The sequence below is a fragment of the Homo sapiens genome, chromosome 16 (assembly GCF_000001405.40).
Source record: "Homo sapiens chromosome 16, GRCh38.p14 Primary Assembly".
Taxonomy (NCBI): Eukaryota; Metazoa; Chordata; class Mammalia; order Primates; family Hominidae; genus Homo; species Homo sapiens.
Genome location: NC_000016.10, coordinates 24,963,626 through 24,977,739, shown reverse-complemented (window position 1 = coordinate 24,977,739; position 14,114 = coordinate 24,963,626). Strand labels below are relative to the sequence as shown.

Here is a 14,114-nt window from a genome sequence, read left to right as displayed (position 1 = left end):
CTTTAGAGGTTTATTTAAAACACACACACACACACCCCAAACCCAATAAGGAATAATTTTGAAAACACAGATCTTGCAGTTAAATTGTGGAACGTTTATTTTGCTGCTTCTGTCTGATGTACATTGTGTGGAAGGCTCAGTTGCCATGAACTGGAGAGAGCTCTTTGGCATCTCTGGTTTTTTCCAGTTGGCAGTGGGTCTGGGCCCGGATCATTCATTTTCATTTCTGCCTGGTCCAACCTGGTGCTTTTCTGGTGCTGTAGTGTGTAAACTGACTGGCGCCACTCAGTGTGATAGCAAGGTGTAGCCAAGATCATCCCTTTTCCCTGCATGTAGATTCAGCCATGCTTTTCCTACCAGCATGCAGACACCACAAAAGAAAGAGGATGAATTTGTTCTCTTTTGTCTCTGCCTTGTCAGATTGAGAGACGCCTGGACACGGTGCGGTCAATATGCCACCATTCCCATAAGCGCTTGGTGGCATGTTTCCAGGGCCAGCATGGCACCGATGCCGAGAGGAGACACGTGAGTATCAGATGTGACTCAGACCCACAGTTCCTGCGTCTCTCTGAGGCTTTTCAACCCCTGGATTGGTTGGTTGTCCTAAGTGGCATCAGTGGATCAGCCTTTGGTGACTTCTATCACCAAGCACGCTCATGACACCTGCGTGACCATAGCATTCTTTTGTGTTTAAGACATCGCTGGGCTGGAAGCCCTCCTTACACGGAATCTTCTCCAGGTGCTTTTAAAAGCTCCACGATCATGTGTCATTGATAAGAGAATGGCTGTGTCGGTTATGCATCTTTTGCTGGCAGAAAGCGGAAAGCCTGTCTTAAATTGACATTGAAGTAGAAGTAATGTATTGGTTTGCTAACTGAAAAGTCCAGAGGTTGGGATGGACTTGAGGTCAGGGTTTATCTAACATTTTAGTAATGTAATGAAAAACCCAGTTTCTTTCCTTCTCTCTCCTGTGCCCTCAGTGTCTGCTTTGTCCCTAGACAGGCATCCTCATGATGGCAAGTTGGCTATTGGCAGCTTCTATGGGCTGCTTGTTCCTTGAGTGTGGCCAGTGGGAGTAGAGAGCCTCTCTCCCAGTAGTTCCCCTCCCCTCCCCTCTCGCCTCTTTTTCTTTTTTCTTTTCTTTTTGCTTCCCTTCCCTTTCCCCTTTCCCCTTTCCTTTCCCTTCTCTTCTCTTTCTTTTCTTTTCTTTCCTGACAGGGTCTCACTCCATGACCCAGGCTGTAGTGTGGTAGTACAGTCACAGCTCACTGCAGCCTCAAACTCCTGGGCTCAAGAGATCCTCCTGCTTCAGTCTCCCAAGCAGCTGAGACCACAGTACACACCACCATGCCTGGCTAATTTTTTAAATTTTTTTGTAGAGATGGGGATCTTGCTTTGTTACCTAGGCTGATGTAGAACTCCTGGCCTCAAGCAGTCCTCCCACCTGGGCCTTCCAAAGTGCTGGAATTACAGGCATGAGCCACCATACTTGGCCCCAGTAGTTTTTCTTGATGGAGTGAGAAAGCTGCTTTTTCCAAGCTCTTGGCAGATTGAAAGCGCGTTCCATTGCATTGATTTGTGTGGAGTTACATTCCCCGTTTTTGACTGTTTCTGTTCCACCCTAGTTACCATGGATAGGGGGTGAGGTGGGGTGAGGAGATGGGATGTGCCGATTGGTTTAAGTTAGTTTGGCCCAGACCTAGAGCATGGGCTGTGGTCCTACTCCTAGCTCATAGACTTTATCAAGGCCAGGGTAGATCCCTGAGAAAAATCAGGATACTAGTATAGAGAGGAAGAGGGATGGACTCTAGGAGAGCCATCCGGTGTCTTTTCCAAGGTCCACTTGTTCAGAGCGTTCAGTTCCTAGGTAGAGCCAGTGGAGCACAGCAGCCTTTGTTCATGAGGGAGTTCCATCCTTGCTTTTACAAGTCCCCAGCTTATGAGCATGCGGTAAACCTTAGACCCCATGCAACATTGAAGTGACAGTTTCGGTGACACACAGGGAAGCTATGATTTGGTGTATTGTCACCAGGTGTCTCAAAAGTGAGAACTATTAATAGTATGCAGATGATCTGTGTTACCCTTTTATGTTTCCTACAGACTTTTATGGGGCACCCTGGCAGCAGGGTTTTTCCACTCTTGCACAACAGTGAGGATTCTGCAATCATGTCTGTCATAGGAATGGAAGTTTGCATACACCTATGCTTCCACACTTGCCTCAAAGCTCTGTCCCTCGGAACCAGACCCAGCCTACTGGTTCTGCTTCCTGGAGCTCCTTGTCCTTCTGTTGCCTTCTTCTGCTCTGCTTACCCTTTTCACATTGTTTCATTAAGTTCTCTGCTTCTCTTATTCTCCAAGTCATATTCTCTGGGCCACCTCCTCTGTTCTTATGGCTTCTAACTGATGTGTTTATGCCAGTGACTTCTAAGCCATTTTCAACCAAGCAAAAAACTTCCTCTCTTAGATGTCTATTCTAGCATGCATGATCAGTTCTTCCTTCTGTGTTGACTCTCTGAATTCCATCCACCCTTTTATGCAGGCTGGAAACTGGGGGGCTTTCTTATATTCCTTGTTATTTTTTATTTTCAAGACAGGGTCTCACTCTGTTGTCCGTGCTGGAGTGTAGTGGCACGATCCCGGCCCATTGCAACATTAACCTCCTGGGCTCAAGCCATCCTTCGACCTCAACCTTTAAGTAGCTGGGACTACAGGCTTGCGCCACCAAGCCTGGCTAATTGTTTGTTTGTTTTTTTCGTAGTAGAGATGAGGTCTCATCTGTTGCCCAGGCTGGTCTTGAACTCCTGGGCTCAAGCAGTTCTCCCGCCTTGGCCTCTCAAAGTGTTGGGATTACAGGCATGAGCTACTGTGCTGGGCCTCGCTTTTATTTTATCCTCCAAACCCCATAACTGCCTAATTAGAAAGTCCTTTGATTTCTCTCTGTGAATATTTTAAATTGCTCATCTCCATTGCATCTCTACCACCTTGGCCTTAATGCAAGACCTGACTCCCTCTCACCTGGACTGTTGTAGTCACCTCCTGAGCTACATTTCCTGTCTGTAATTTCCTTTCCAGTCTGTCTTCAACCTGATCACCAGAGTCAATTTCCTGAAACACAAATCAACCCTATTATCCTCCTGCCTAAAAAAAAAAATCTTGGCTCAGTGGTTCTTAACAGGGACCAGAATTACACCCCTGGGGGCATATGGAAATGTGTAGAGACAGTTCGGTCATCACAGGGACTGGCAGGCACCACTGGCATTTGGAGGGTGAACCGAGATGCTAAGCATTTTTTGTTTGTTTGTTTGTTTTTTGAGATGGAATCTTGCTGTGTCGCCCAGGCTGGAGCGCAGTGGTTGATCCCGGCTCACTGCATCCTCCACCACCCGGTTCAAACGATTCTCCCACCTCAGCCTCCCGAGTAGCTGGGACTACAGGTGCACGCCACCAAGCCTGGCTAATTTTTGTATTTTTAGTAGAGACAGGATTTCACCATGTTGACCAGGCTGGTTTCCAACTCCTGACCTCAAGTGATCCTCCCTCCTCGGCCTCCCGAAGTGCTGGGGTTATAGGCGTGAGCCTCCGTGCCTGGCCAAGATGCTAAATGTTTTGTAGTGCCTGGTGAAATAGTTCCACACAGGAAGTATCTTAATGTTAGAAGTGCTTCTTCTGAGGGACACTGGCTGGTTCCCATTGCCTGGGATAAAGTCCACACTCTTTAGATGACTTAAGCCCTTTCTCAGCTGATTCCATTTCTCCTTATCAGCTTCATTGTCTCCTGCTGCTTCCCGTTCACACCCTGTGCCAGCCACATAACACTCACCAGTCCCCAAATATGTCACTGTCCCTCACAGTTCTATCTAGTTCCTGTTGTCTTCCTTGAGACGCAGTCCAAGACATATATTCAATAGAAACAAATATTTATCAAACACCTACTGTGTACAAGTGCTGGAGATATAAAATGAATGAAATGTAAGTTTTCATGGTCTCATGGGGGAGATACATACAAATGGATCATTATAAAACAAGATGCTCAATAAAACATGCACAGGGTTTTATGGGGGGCCCAGAATGGGTACCAGAGGAAGAGGGAGGTAGTTAGGTGAGGCTTCCTGGAGGAGGTGGTGTCTGCCCTATAAAGGAGGGAAATTAGTGGCAGGTGGTGGGAATATTCCAGGCAGCTGGGGCAAAGTGCTTGGCCCTCATTTCTGAAACCTAATGCTTTAGCTTTCCTTTTCCAACGTCAAACGAAAGTGCCAAAGACAGGGCTTTGAGGATGCCTACACTTTGCACTTGGGAAGAGGAGTTACCACAACAATGGTGAGAGAAGACTAATATGGAGAAAATTGCAGCAGTCTCCAGGGCTCTAGAAAACACAGGAGGAACCTCCCAAAGGCCTCATAACATGCTTCCTGCATGGGAAGAGGCAAGAATAGAAGGGAAGAGAGAGACATGAGGCAGGTGACCTTTGCAGCCCAGCCACCATTGACATGGCAGAACTGTCGTGGGTCAGATAAGATAGATTATTAGATTAGAGAATTATTTCTTTTTGTGCGATTGGCATGCATTTTACAAATTAAGTCTTTAGAGCATTTAAAATTCATCCCTGGCCAGGCATGGTGCTGCACTCCTGTAATCTCAGCACTTTGGGAGGCCAAGGTGGGTGGATTGCTTGAGCTCAGGAGTCGATACCAGCCTGTGCAACATGGCAAAACCCCGGAAGTGGGTTGCAGTGAGCTGAGATCGCGTCACTGACCTCCAGCCTGGGCAACAGAGCCAGACCCTGTCTTAAAAAAAAAAAAAAATTATCCCTGATGATAGAAAGCTGTTCACCTCTAGGAAGCACGAAGCCCTCCCTGTGGAGGAGTTCAGTGTTGATACTTGATTAATGAGCCCATATGTTAAGCAGAGTTTCCTTATTTATGTACATAGGAAACAAGATTGTTGTGGCTTTGGGGTCAGGTTAGGGAAACCACAAAACTATTTACAGCTGCCATCTTGAGTGATGCTTGTCAAAATAGAGTTTTCTATTATTTTTTTTCCATAGACTCCTAGAGTTCCAGAGTTGCACAATATATTTGTCTTGATTATTGCATTGATCTTTAATAGGTATTTAACCTCCTTTAGAAAGGCAGCATAACCAAAAGGTAGGAATTATCCCCTATTATTCTCATGTCTTCCTTGTCCAGAAATGGGGCAGCTGGGAATAGTCTCCTTGTAGTGCAGATGGAGCCCATTATTTATTTATTTGAAAATAATTTTGTAGGAAGCCGAGGTGGGAGGATTGCTTGAGACTAGGAGTTTGAGACCAGCCTGGGCAACATAGTGAGACCTTGTCTCTACAAAAAATTTAAAAATCAATAATTTGGGGAGAGGGGAAATGAGTAAATGCCTCTGTTTATTTTTAAATTTCAGCTTACTGTTTTGAATAGGTTCTACATTTACACGGTCAAAATTCAGAATATACAAAAGAACTTACAGTGAAGTGCCTCCTAGCCCATTTCCCCAGGCACCCAGTTCCCTCCTCCAGAGCCCCTGCTCTTAGTAGTTTGTTGTATAGCCTTGCAGAGATATTCTGTCCAGTACAAGCCAGTGCATATGTGATTGTATCAGATGGAGCCCTTTGGAGGCAGAAGAGGCAAGTGACATGTCAGGGGTGGACCCTGTGTTTTTAACATGAATGCCCTTTCTGCTGGGCAGGTGAAATTACATGGGATGCTGCAGAATTGAAAGCATTTTTTTGTTAGCAGATTATGACGTTATAACCAGCCCACTTGTAATTGCCAGGCCTCTCCTGAGATAAGCCATTGGCCCGTAGGGAAGACACTGAACAGAGGCCCGGGCCATCAGCACTCAGGTCTGACTTTCCTGCGTCTCCCTGGGATGCCTGGCCAGGCCACTTGACCTCCTTCGGCTTTGGGTTCCTTGACTGTATGATTATAACATTAGATCAGGTGATTCTGTGGTCATTGCCAGCTGGAAAACAAATCTCTGATAGGAAAATGAGTGGCTTTGTATTTAAAAATATTACAAAAACTGGCTCTTTAGCTAGAAGTTTTTAGGTATTTAAATAAAGCTACATTTTAGAATGATAGCCAAATTAAGAGCCAGTTTAGACTGGGTGCGGTGGCTCATGCCTGCAATCCCAGAACTTTGGGAGGCTGAGGAGGGCAGATCACTTGAGGTCAAGAGTTTGAGACAAGCCTGGCCAACATGGCAAAACCCTGTTTCTGCTAAAAGTACAGAAATTAGCTGGGTGTAAGTGGTGCATGCCCATAATCACAGCAGGGGAGGCTGAGGCACGAGAATCACTTGAACCTGGCAGGCGGCGGTTGCAGTGAGCCGAGATTGCCCCACTACACTCTAGCCTAGGTGATAGAGCAAGACTCTGCCTCAAAAAAAAAAAAAAAAAGCCAATTTAAGAATGAGTGTTCTAGCAAAAGCTTTTGAAATTGAGCACTTCATTGCATTTACCTGTCAGGATAACCATTTAGAGAGCAAGGTCTATGTCTCTGTCATGTCCCCAGTGCCTTGAACATAGTGTGCTTTGATTCATTAATAATAATATGAACAGGCTGGGCGTGATGGTTCATGCCTGTAATCCCAACACTTTGGGAGGCTGAGGCATGCAGATCACTTGAACTCAGGAGTTTGAGATTAGCCTGGTCAACATACCCCATCTCTACCAAAAATACAAAAATTAGCTGGACGTGGTGATGCAGGCCTGTAATCCCACCTACTTCAGTGGCTAAGGCAGGAGAGTTGCTTGAACCTGGAAGGTGGAGACTGCAGTGAGTCAAGATCATGCCACTGCATTGCAGCCTGGGTGACAGACTCAGACCCTGTCCCAAAAAAACAAACAAAAATAATAATAAGCAGAACAACAACAACAGCAATAATAATAATAGCAGCTAACATTTACTGAATACTTACAATGTGTTAGGTACTTGATATGTTTTCTTTAGTCAACAGATAGCCCCAAACTGAAACAGAGATCATCATACAACTAATATCTGTGAGACCAGAACCTGAACCCAGACAGGCTGTCTCCTACCTGTGTAATTTGCCTGGAGGGAGAAATTAATGAATGATGATCTGAAAAAGATCATTGAGAATGGGTATCAAATAATGAGAAAAACACACACTGTCTTCTATCTTCCAGAAAAAACTGCCTCTGACAGCTCTTGCTCAAAATATGCAAGAAGCATCGACTCAGCTGGAAGACTCTCTCCTGGGGTAAGAGTTGCTGCCTTCAGAGTGCCAAGTGCCATGTAGATTGGTGGAAGTGGCTGGGCCAGGTGGTGTATGTAGGACCTGTGAGAGGAACTGTGAGCGTTGATGGCATGGCTCATCCGCTAGGAGACCGGCTGAGACTCCTTGGGAGAAAGTGGGGTCAAGGCCGCCAGGTTGCTGGAGAATCTTCCTTTTAGTAGGTGTCAGGCTGGAGTTGGATGGCAGAAAGGGCCATTAACAAAAAAGCAACTGATAGGGTCAATGCCTATTCCCCTAATCTTGGACAGAAAGAATGTGGTCCCTTCTGTGTTCCAGGTGTTGGCTCAGATTTAGAAACTCTGACCAGACCCTTTCAGTTCTTAGTCACATCGTTTACAGGCGGTCACCAAAACGTCCATGGTAGTTATCTAAAAAGAGTGTATTTTCTGAATTACTTGGATTTTTTTTTTTTTTTTACAATTGTCATGTATTCTTTAAATAATTTATATAAGTAAGAACAAAGCAGTTTTTATTGTAGGAGGGAAGGTATACCCTTCTGTCTGCTCCTGCAGCAAGGCTGGTGTTCTCTAGCCCTGTCTGCTCTCTCTGGCTGTGACATGGGCCCTGCTTCCCAGCAGGACGAGGCCTTCAGACTTTTCAGTCCATTTCTCAGCGTCTACAGTTATCTCGCTGTCCTAGAACAGTTTCCTCCCATTCGTCACCATTCCTTTCTCCTGTCTGCTTCCATGTTTGGGGGCCCTGGGAGGAGGGTGGCCTGTGCCCACCTGCCAGCATCCTCCTTCCCTCCAGCCTGGAAGTTTTTCCTGTTTGTGCTTCCACATGCTATGGCCATCCTCATCACACCAGAGTGATACTGCGTGCTAGCATGGTTATAAGTGTTTTCCAAGTAATAGCTCATTTAATCCTTAAAACAACCTAGGAGGTAGGTCATATCAGCACTTAGAACCATGTTAACACACAACATCACTCCCATTTTACAGACGAGGATACTGACAGAGAGGGCAGGGAAATTGCCTGAGACCCCACAGTGGGAGAAGAGCAAAGCCTGTATTCAGACTTGGGCAGCTTGGCACCAGAGAGCATGTTCCTGACTATGACACCATGGCCACCTCACACCAGGCAACGTGCATTTCTGGTGTCAAAAAAACCCCATAGAGAGCTTGCAGGGGTGGAGGGGAAGGAAAGGAGAGAGGGAGGAGGGAGGGATAGAGACTGTGGAGTTATATCACTGCACGTGTACTTTGTATGATATCAGCTGCATGTTCGCAAGCAAACTAAAAGGAAACATGATATTTATGTAACAGGGCCCTTAAGTGTTAGCCAGCTAGCTCATCTGCATAGCAGAAAGGGAGCCTGGCCAAGGCTGGACTCGCAGACATAAGATAACATGGAATGAACTTAATGTCTAATTTAAAAGATCTTCAGAGTATTTTGTGAACACTTGGCTTTCACCTGACTTGAGAATTTAATTCTTGAGTAATTTGTTATTTCACTGTTCACACATCTGTCTGCCACCCACACACACAAAGTGCATCCCTGAGACAGTCATTTTTATTTTAAAGCACAAATCTGTGGACTCATGTTTTAGGCAGTACCCTACATTTATAATATTTTCAAGGCTCGTTAGGTAGCACCCTAATGCGTTCCTGTTGTATGGCAAGCAGCACTGATCCACACGATAATCCAGTGCCTGATTTAATGAGCACGTGCTCGTTGTTGGGGGTCTTGTTTTTAAAGGAAGATGCTGGAGACGTGTGGAGATGCTGAGAATCAGCTGGCTCTCGAGCTCTCCCAGCACGAAGTCTTTGTTGAGAAGGAGATCGTGGACCCTCTGTACGGCATAGCTGAGGTGGGTGCTTCACCGTGCAGCACGGAAGAGCCGAGAGTGGTGTGGGCTGGACAGTGAGTGTTAAAATTTTAACAGTAGTTGCTGGCTTTAACATACACTTCTTTTTGGAAATAAGGGGAGTCAATTGAAGGTACAAAATCCTTTGCCTTAGAGAAAAAACGTTTGTAAATACTTTAAAATGGTTAACCTAAAAGCCCTGAAGTGCATCCCATTTGGTATGTTCTTATTTTTAGGTGGAGATTCCCAACATCCAGAAGCAGAGGAAGCAGCTTGCAAGATTGGTGTTAGACTGGGATTCAGTCAGAGCCAGGTAACAGCTTGAGCCAGCAATGCAGCATTGTGTCCCATTCCCACCACGGGGGAGAAGACCACTGACAGTGGACACAATGGAAGTGCTCACCAATTCGTGCATTTGACCCCCAGACTGGGTGCCAGCCTGCCAGCACCTCCTATAGGCCTTGTTCTCCCAAGCGTGGCAGTGGGGATGTTGTTAGAACATCCTGTTCTTAGTGAGCCAGCAGTGAAAGGAAATAATCTAAGGAAAATGAAGTGAGTATATTTAACGGAAGAGGGGATGGTGGCAGTTTTGAGAGCACAACTCAGAGTGTAGGAATAAACACATCTGTGGCCCTAACAGCTCATGAGGGTCCTGCCATGTCACAAACCCTGTGTACTTGTAATACCTTCAGTACCAAGGAAGGAGGCACTCACATGGCAGGAACTCATGTAAACCTATGTAGCCAAATCAGCGCTGCTGATGTGGGGACTGATGCCAGCGAAGGAGTCTGTCAGGATTCAGAGCAGGACTGCTGCCTCTGCTTTGTCCTTGATGGAGTTTTTTGGCTTTTTTTTCTTTCCTTTTCTTTTTTTTTTTTTTTTTTTGAGTCAAGGTCTTGCTCTGCTGTACCAGGCTGGTGCGATCATAGCTTACTGCAGCCTCAGACTCCCAGGCTCAAGTGATCCTTCTGCCTCGGCATCCCAGGTAGCTGGGACTACAGGCACATGCCACAGCTTGGAGATGGTGTCTAGCTGTGTTGCCCAGGCTGGTCTTGAACTTCTGGCCTCAAGTGATCCTCCCACCTTGGCCTCCCAAAGCGCTGGGATTACAGCCATGAGCCGTGGTACCTGGCCCTCAGTGGAGTTTCTATCAGTGACTTACATGGCTTTCTTCTCAGGCATGTGACAGTTGGGAATAGGGAAACAGGCACCACCAGCCTCAGTCCTGTTTCCTGCTTTATCACAAGGGTTGACAAACCTCTTCTGTAAAGGGCTGGATAGTAAATCTTTCTGGTGCTGCAACCCAGTTGCTCCCTGTTGTAACTGCTTAACTCTGCTGTTGTAGCATAAAGGCAGCTGTAGGCAATGCATACATGAATGAGCATGGCTGTGTTCCAATAAAACTTTATTTACAATGTGTACAAATCAGTTGTGAAGATGAGTCCTGATTTAAGAAATGTTGAGATGAGAAAAGGTATATTTAGGAATTCACACATGGTGAAGACTCTGCTAGTGCAATTATCAAGTAACTTACCTCTTGCCACATGCCAGAGATCGAGCTACTTTCATTTTATGTCAGCCCATTTGATTCTCCCAGCAATCCCTGTTCATTTGTTCATCTGTGTTTTCAACTGATATCAATTAGGTGCTCAGTGTGCACCAGACTTTGTGCTAGACTCTAAATGCATAGGCCTTTCCATGTGACTTGGAGGGAACAGGGTAGAGGTTAGTGTAACATTCCCTACTTTTGAGAGGAGACTTGTTTTACAGATAAGGGAGGGACCTGCATTTGTTATCTATATGACTTGCTTTGTGCCTTCAGGAGCATACATTGCAGTGTTAGGATTCTGACAGCAAAGTCCACAGTCTCCTGGTCATGTGTACATGTGATGTTCCCTGTCACCTGGGCTGGAGTGCAGCGGTGTGATCATAGCTCACTGCAACCTCAAACTCCTGGGCTCAAGGGATCCTCCTGCCTCAGCCTCTCGAGTAGCTGCACACCACCACACCCAGCTACTATTTTTTTTTTTTTTAAGATGGAGTCTCTCTCTGTCAACCAGGCTGGAGTACAGTGGCACAATCTTGGCTCACTGCAACCAAGGTGCTGGGTTCAAGCGATACTCCTGTCTCAGCCTCCTTAATAGTTGGGATTACAAGCATGTGCCACCACACCTGGCTAATTTTTGTATTTTTAGTAGAGATGGGGTTTCACCACATTGGCCAGGCTGGTCTCAAACTCCTGATCTCAGGTGATTTCCCTGCCTTAGCCTCCCAAAGTGCTAGGATTACAGGCGTGAGCCACTGCAACCAGCCCCAGCTTTTTATTTTTAGTAGAGACCTGGTCTCGGTATGTTGCCCAGGCTGGTCTCAAACTCCTGGCCGCAAGTAAATGTCTCTTCTTGACCTCCCACAGTGTTGGGATTACAGGTGTGAGTCATCACACCTGGCCTGTACGTGTGATTGGAATCCTGTGTAGCTGAGAGTGCAGGCCACCCTGCGATACATCTTTGCTCAAGAGAAGGAAAAATATTCTAATGATTAATTAAACAAGGCAGCAAATGCTCCCTCACTAGAGTTGGTTGAGCATTATTATAGATGTTTATCTGACAGGAGTTTTGCATCTTGAGTGCATGTATCTCATAGGTGATTTTAATACTGATTCTTGATCTTGCATTCATGGTCTTGTTCACTTAATCACAATAGGTGTTGGAGAAGCTGAAACAATTGAATATTTCCACTTTTTCTCATTCTTCTTGCTTTTCCCTGGAGAAAAAAATGGTAATAAGTAGGAATCCATTATATGCCAGACATCATATGCTGTGCACATGCACACATATTTTTCTCGCTTTTCCTCCTTATGACAGTTCCACAAGGCAGACAGTGTTTGTGATAGTTTTGTAGATGAGGCAACTGAGATGCATAGAGGCTAAGTCACTAACTAGGTCACATAACTAGTTAAGATAAAGCTGAGCTCCAAACTTGAACATGTCAGACTCTGAAATCTATGCTCCTTTCACAATATAGCATCTCCAGTTTAGCTTTGGCTGACTTGCTGAAGCCTTTTGGTGGAGGAGTGTGTCACGTCAGGAACACAAAGTGGGCAGAACATAGCATTTTGGGGCACTGCAGCAGTCTAGAAAGTTTAGTAAGTAGCTAACATGTTTTTTGGGTTTTTTTGTTTGTTTGTTTGAGACAGGGTCTCACTCTGTCCCCAGGCTGGAGTGCGGCGTTGCGATCTTGGTCTGGGCTCACTGCAAGCTCTGCCTCCCAGGTTCACGCCATTCTCCTGCCTCAGCCTCCCAAGTTGCTGGGACTACAGGCGCCTGCCACCACGCCCAGCTAATGTTTTGTATTTTTAGTAGAGATGGGGTTTCACCGTGTTAGCCAAGATGGTCTCGATATCCTGACCTCATGATCCGCCCACCTCGGCTTCCCAAAGTGCTGGGATTACAGGCGTGAGCCAACGCACCCGGCCAACGTGGGTTTTCTTGCTGCATTTTATAACATCTATGTTTACATTTAAAGTGATAGAGTTTTCCACAACACCAGACATACCCATTTTCAAACAGAAGGTCAAAGCACATTTGAAAATCAAAACAAATTGTTTTCTATGATTATTTCCCACTTTTCCCCTATTATTACTATAGTTTCTTTTTTTTTCTTTTTAGTGCTTTCATAGCTATTGATTGATACCTACATTATTATTGTTATTGTTGTTTGTAGACATGGAGTCTTGTTGTGTTGTCCAGGCTGGTCTCAAACTGCTAGCTCAAGTGATCCTCCCACCTTAGCCTCCCAAAGTGTTGGGATTACAGGCGTGAGCCACCGCACCCAGCCTCATAGCTACACTATTGAAGTTCTGGCTTTTACTTTCTGAAAGTAATCCCAGGTCACAGATGGTAGTATGGTAGTGGAAAGAGCCACAAGGAGTTCTCAAAAGCAGGAGCTGATTCCCAGTGGCACAGGGAACATTTCAGCTCAAAGCAAGAGAGCAAGGAGAGCACCTTGCTCTCCTCCGGTGGCAGGGATTCCATGGTTGGCCACCACAAGAAAGGGGTTCCATGGATTTCTCTCCAGTAGTAGAGTTTGTGTGAGACAAGATGTGGTTGGTTATGCTCAAAGCAGACCACTACTCCTAGCACTATGAGAGTCCTGTCATGGTGAGAAGCTAAAGTCTCCTTTTGCCTGCTTCCATTCTTAGAGAATAAGCTCAAGAGAATTTGGCATCCTGGGCAATGATACCCCTTCCAGGTAGAATCAATTGTGGGGAAGGATCTATCTCCACCAGGTCCTGCCTCCAGCTGTTGAGTATACACAGCTGGTTCTCAGATGCTGGTGACCCCTTTGTTTTGCAGGTGGAACCAAGCTCACAAATCCTCAGGAACCAACTTTCAGGGGCTTCCATCAAAAATAGATACTCTAAAGGAAGAGATGGATGAAGCTGGAAATAAAGTAGAACAGTGCAAGGTATGAGAATTCCTTGATAAATGTATCTTTTCGGTTTTTGCAAATGAGGGATGAAAGTTCAAATGTAAGTTACTTAATGTTTTAAATAATTTCTATCAGAATATTTTGAATGATTTTAAAGGTAGGTTTTATTTTCTTCTTCTCTAAGACTATATTATTTTATGATCAGAATAAAACATTTTAAATTTCAAATAGGATATTTTTAAAAACTTGACAAGATGTCTAAGCTTATTTAAAGATGAAGTCAGAAAAAAGGAAAGAAAACCATAGCAAAACATATAATAAAATTACAGCGATTAAAAATGCATAAGAAATACAAAAGTAAGAAAAAAGAAGTAAAACTGTATAAGAAGCATTAAAATAGATCAGTGAAATAGTATAGGTTTTCTGGAATGAATGCTATAATGTAAAATTTAATATACAGTAAATGGCTCATATGTCCTTGGAGAAGATAAGGATTACTTTTAAAATGTTGCTTGAACAATTGGTTTGTAATTTGGGAGAAATAGAGCTTTTTATCTCATAAATTACAGATTAATTAGATGGTCAAGTGATCTCATTCTCTCTGCAT

At 44.9% G+C, this 14,114-nt stretch overlaps 1 protein-coding gene across 18 annotated transcripts in view; it reads left to right on the top strand.

Annotated features, from left to right (window-relative positions):
• Positions 1 to 14,114, top strand: part of ARHGAP17 (Rho GTPase activating protein 17) — a 95,981-nt gene that overhangs the window by 37,630 nt on the left and 44,237 nt on the right. For all 18 annotated transcript variants that reach the window (XR_950809.3, NM_018054.6, XM_047434318.1 and 15 more), the window contains exons 3-7: positions 421 to 525; positions 7,160 to 7,233; positions 8,968 to 9,079; positions 9,313 to 9,389; positions 13,432 to 13,543. Coding sequence is in view for 17 of the 18 variants with exons in the window: in NM_018054.6 (NP_060524.4) it covers positions 421 to 525; positions 7,160 to 7,233; positions 8,968 to 9,079; positions 9,313 to 9,389; positions 13,432 to 13,543 (480 nt within the window). In the remaining variant the exon portion in view is untranslated. The remainder of the gene's footprint in view (positions 1 to 420; positions 526 to 7,159; positions 7,234 to 8,967; positions 9,080 to 9,312; positions 9,390 to 13,431; positions 13,544 to 14,114) is intronic.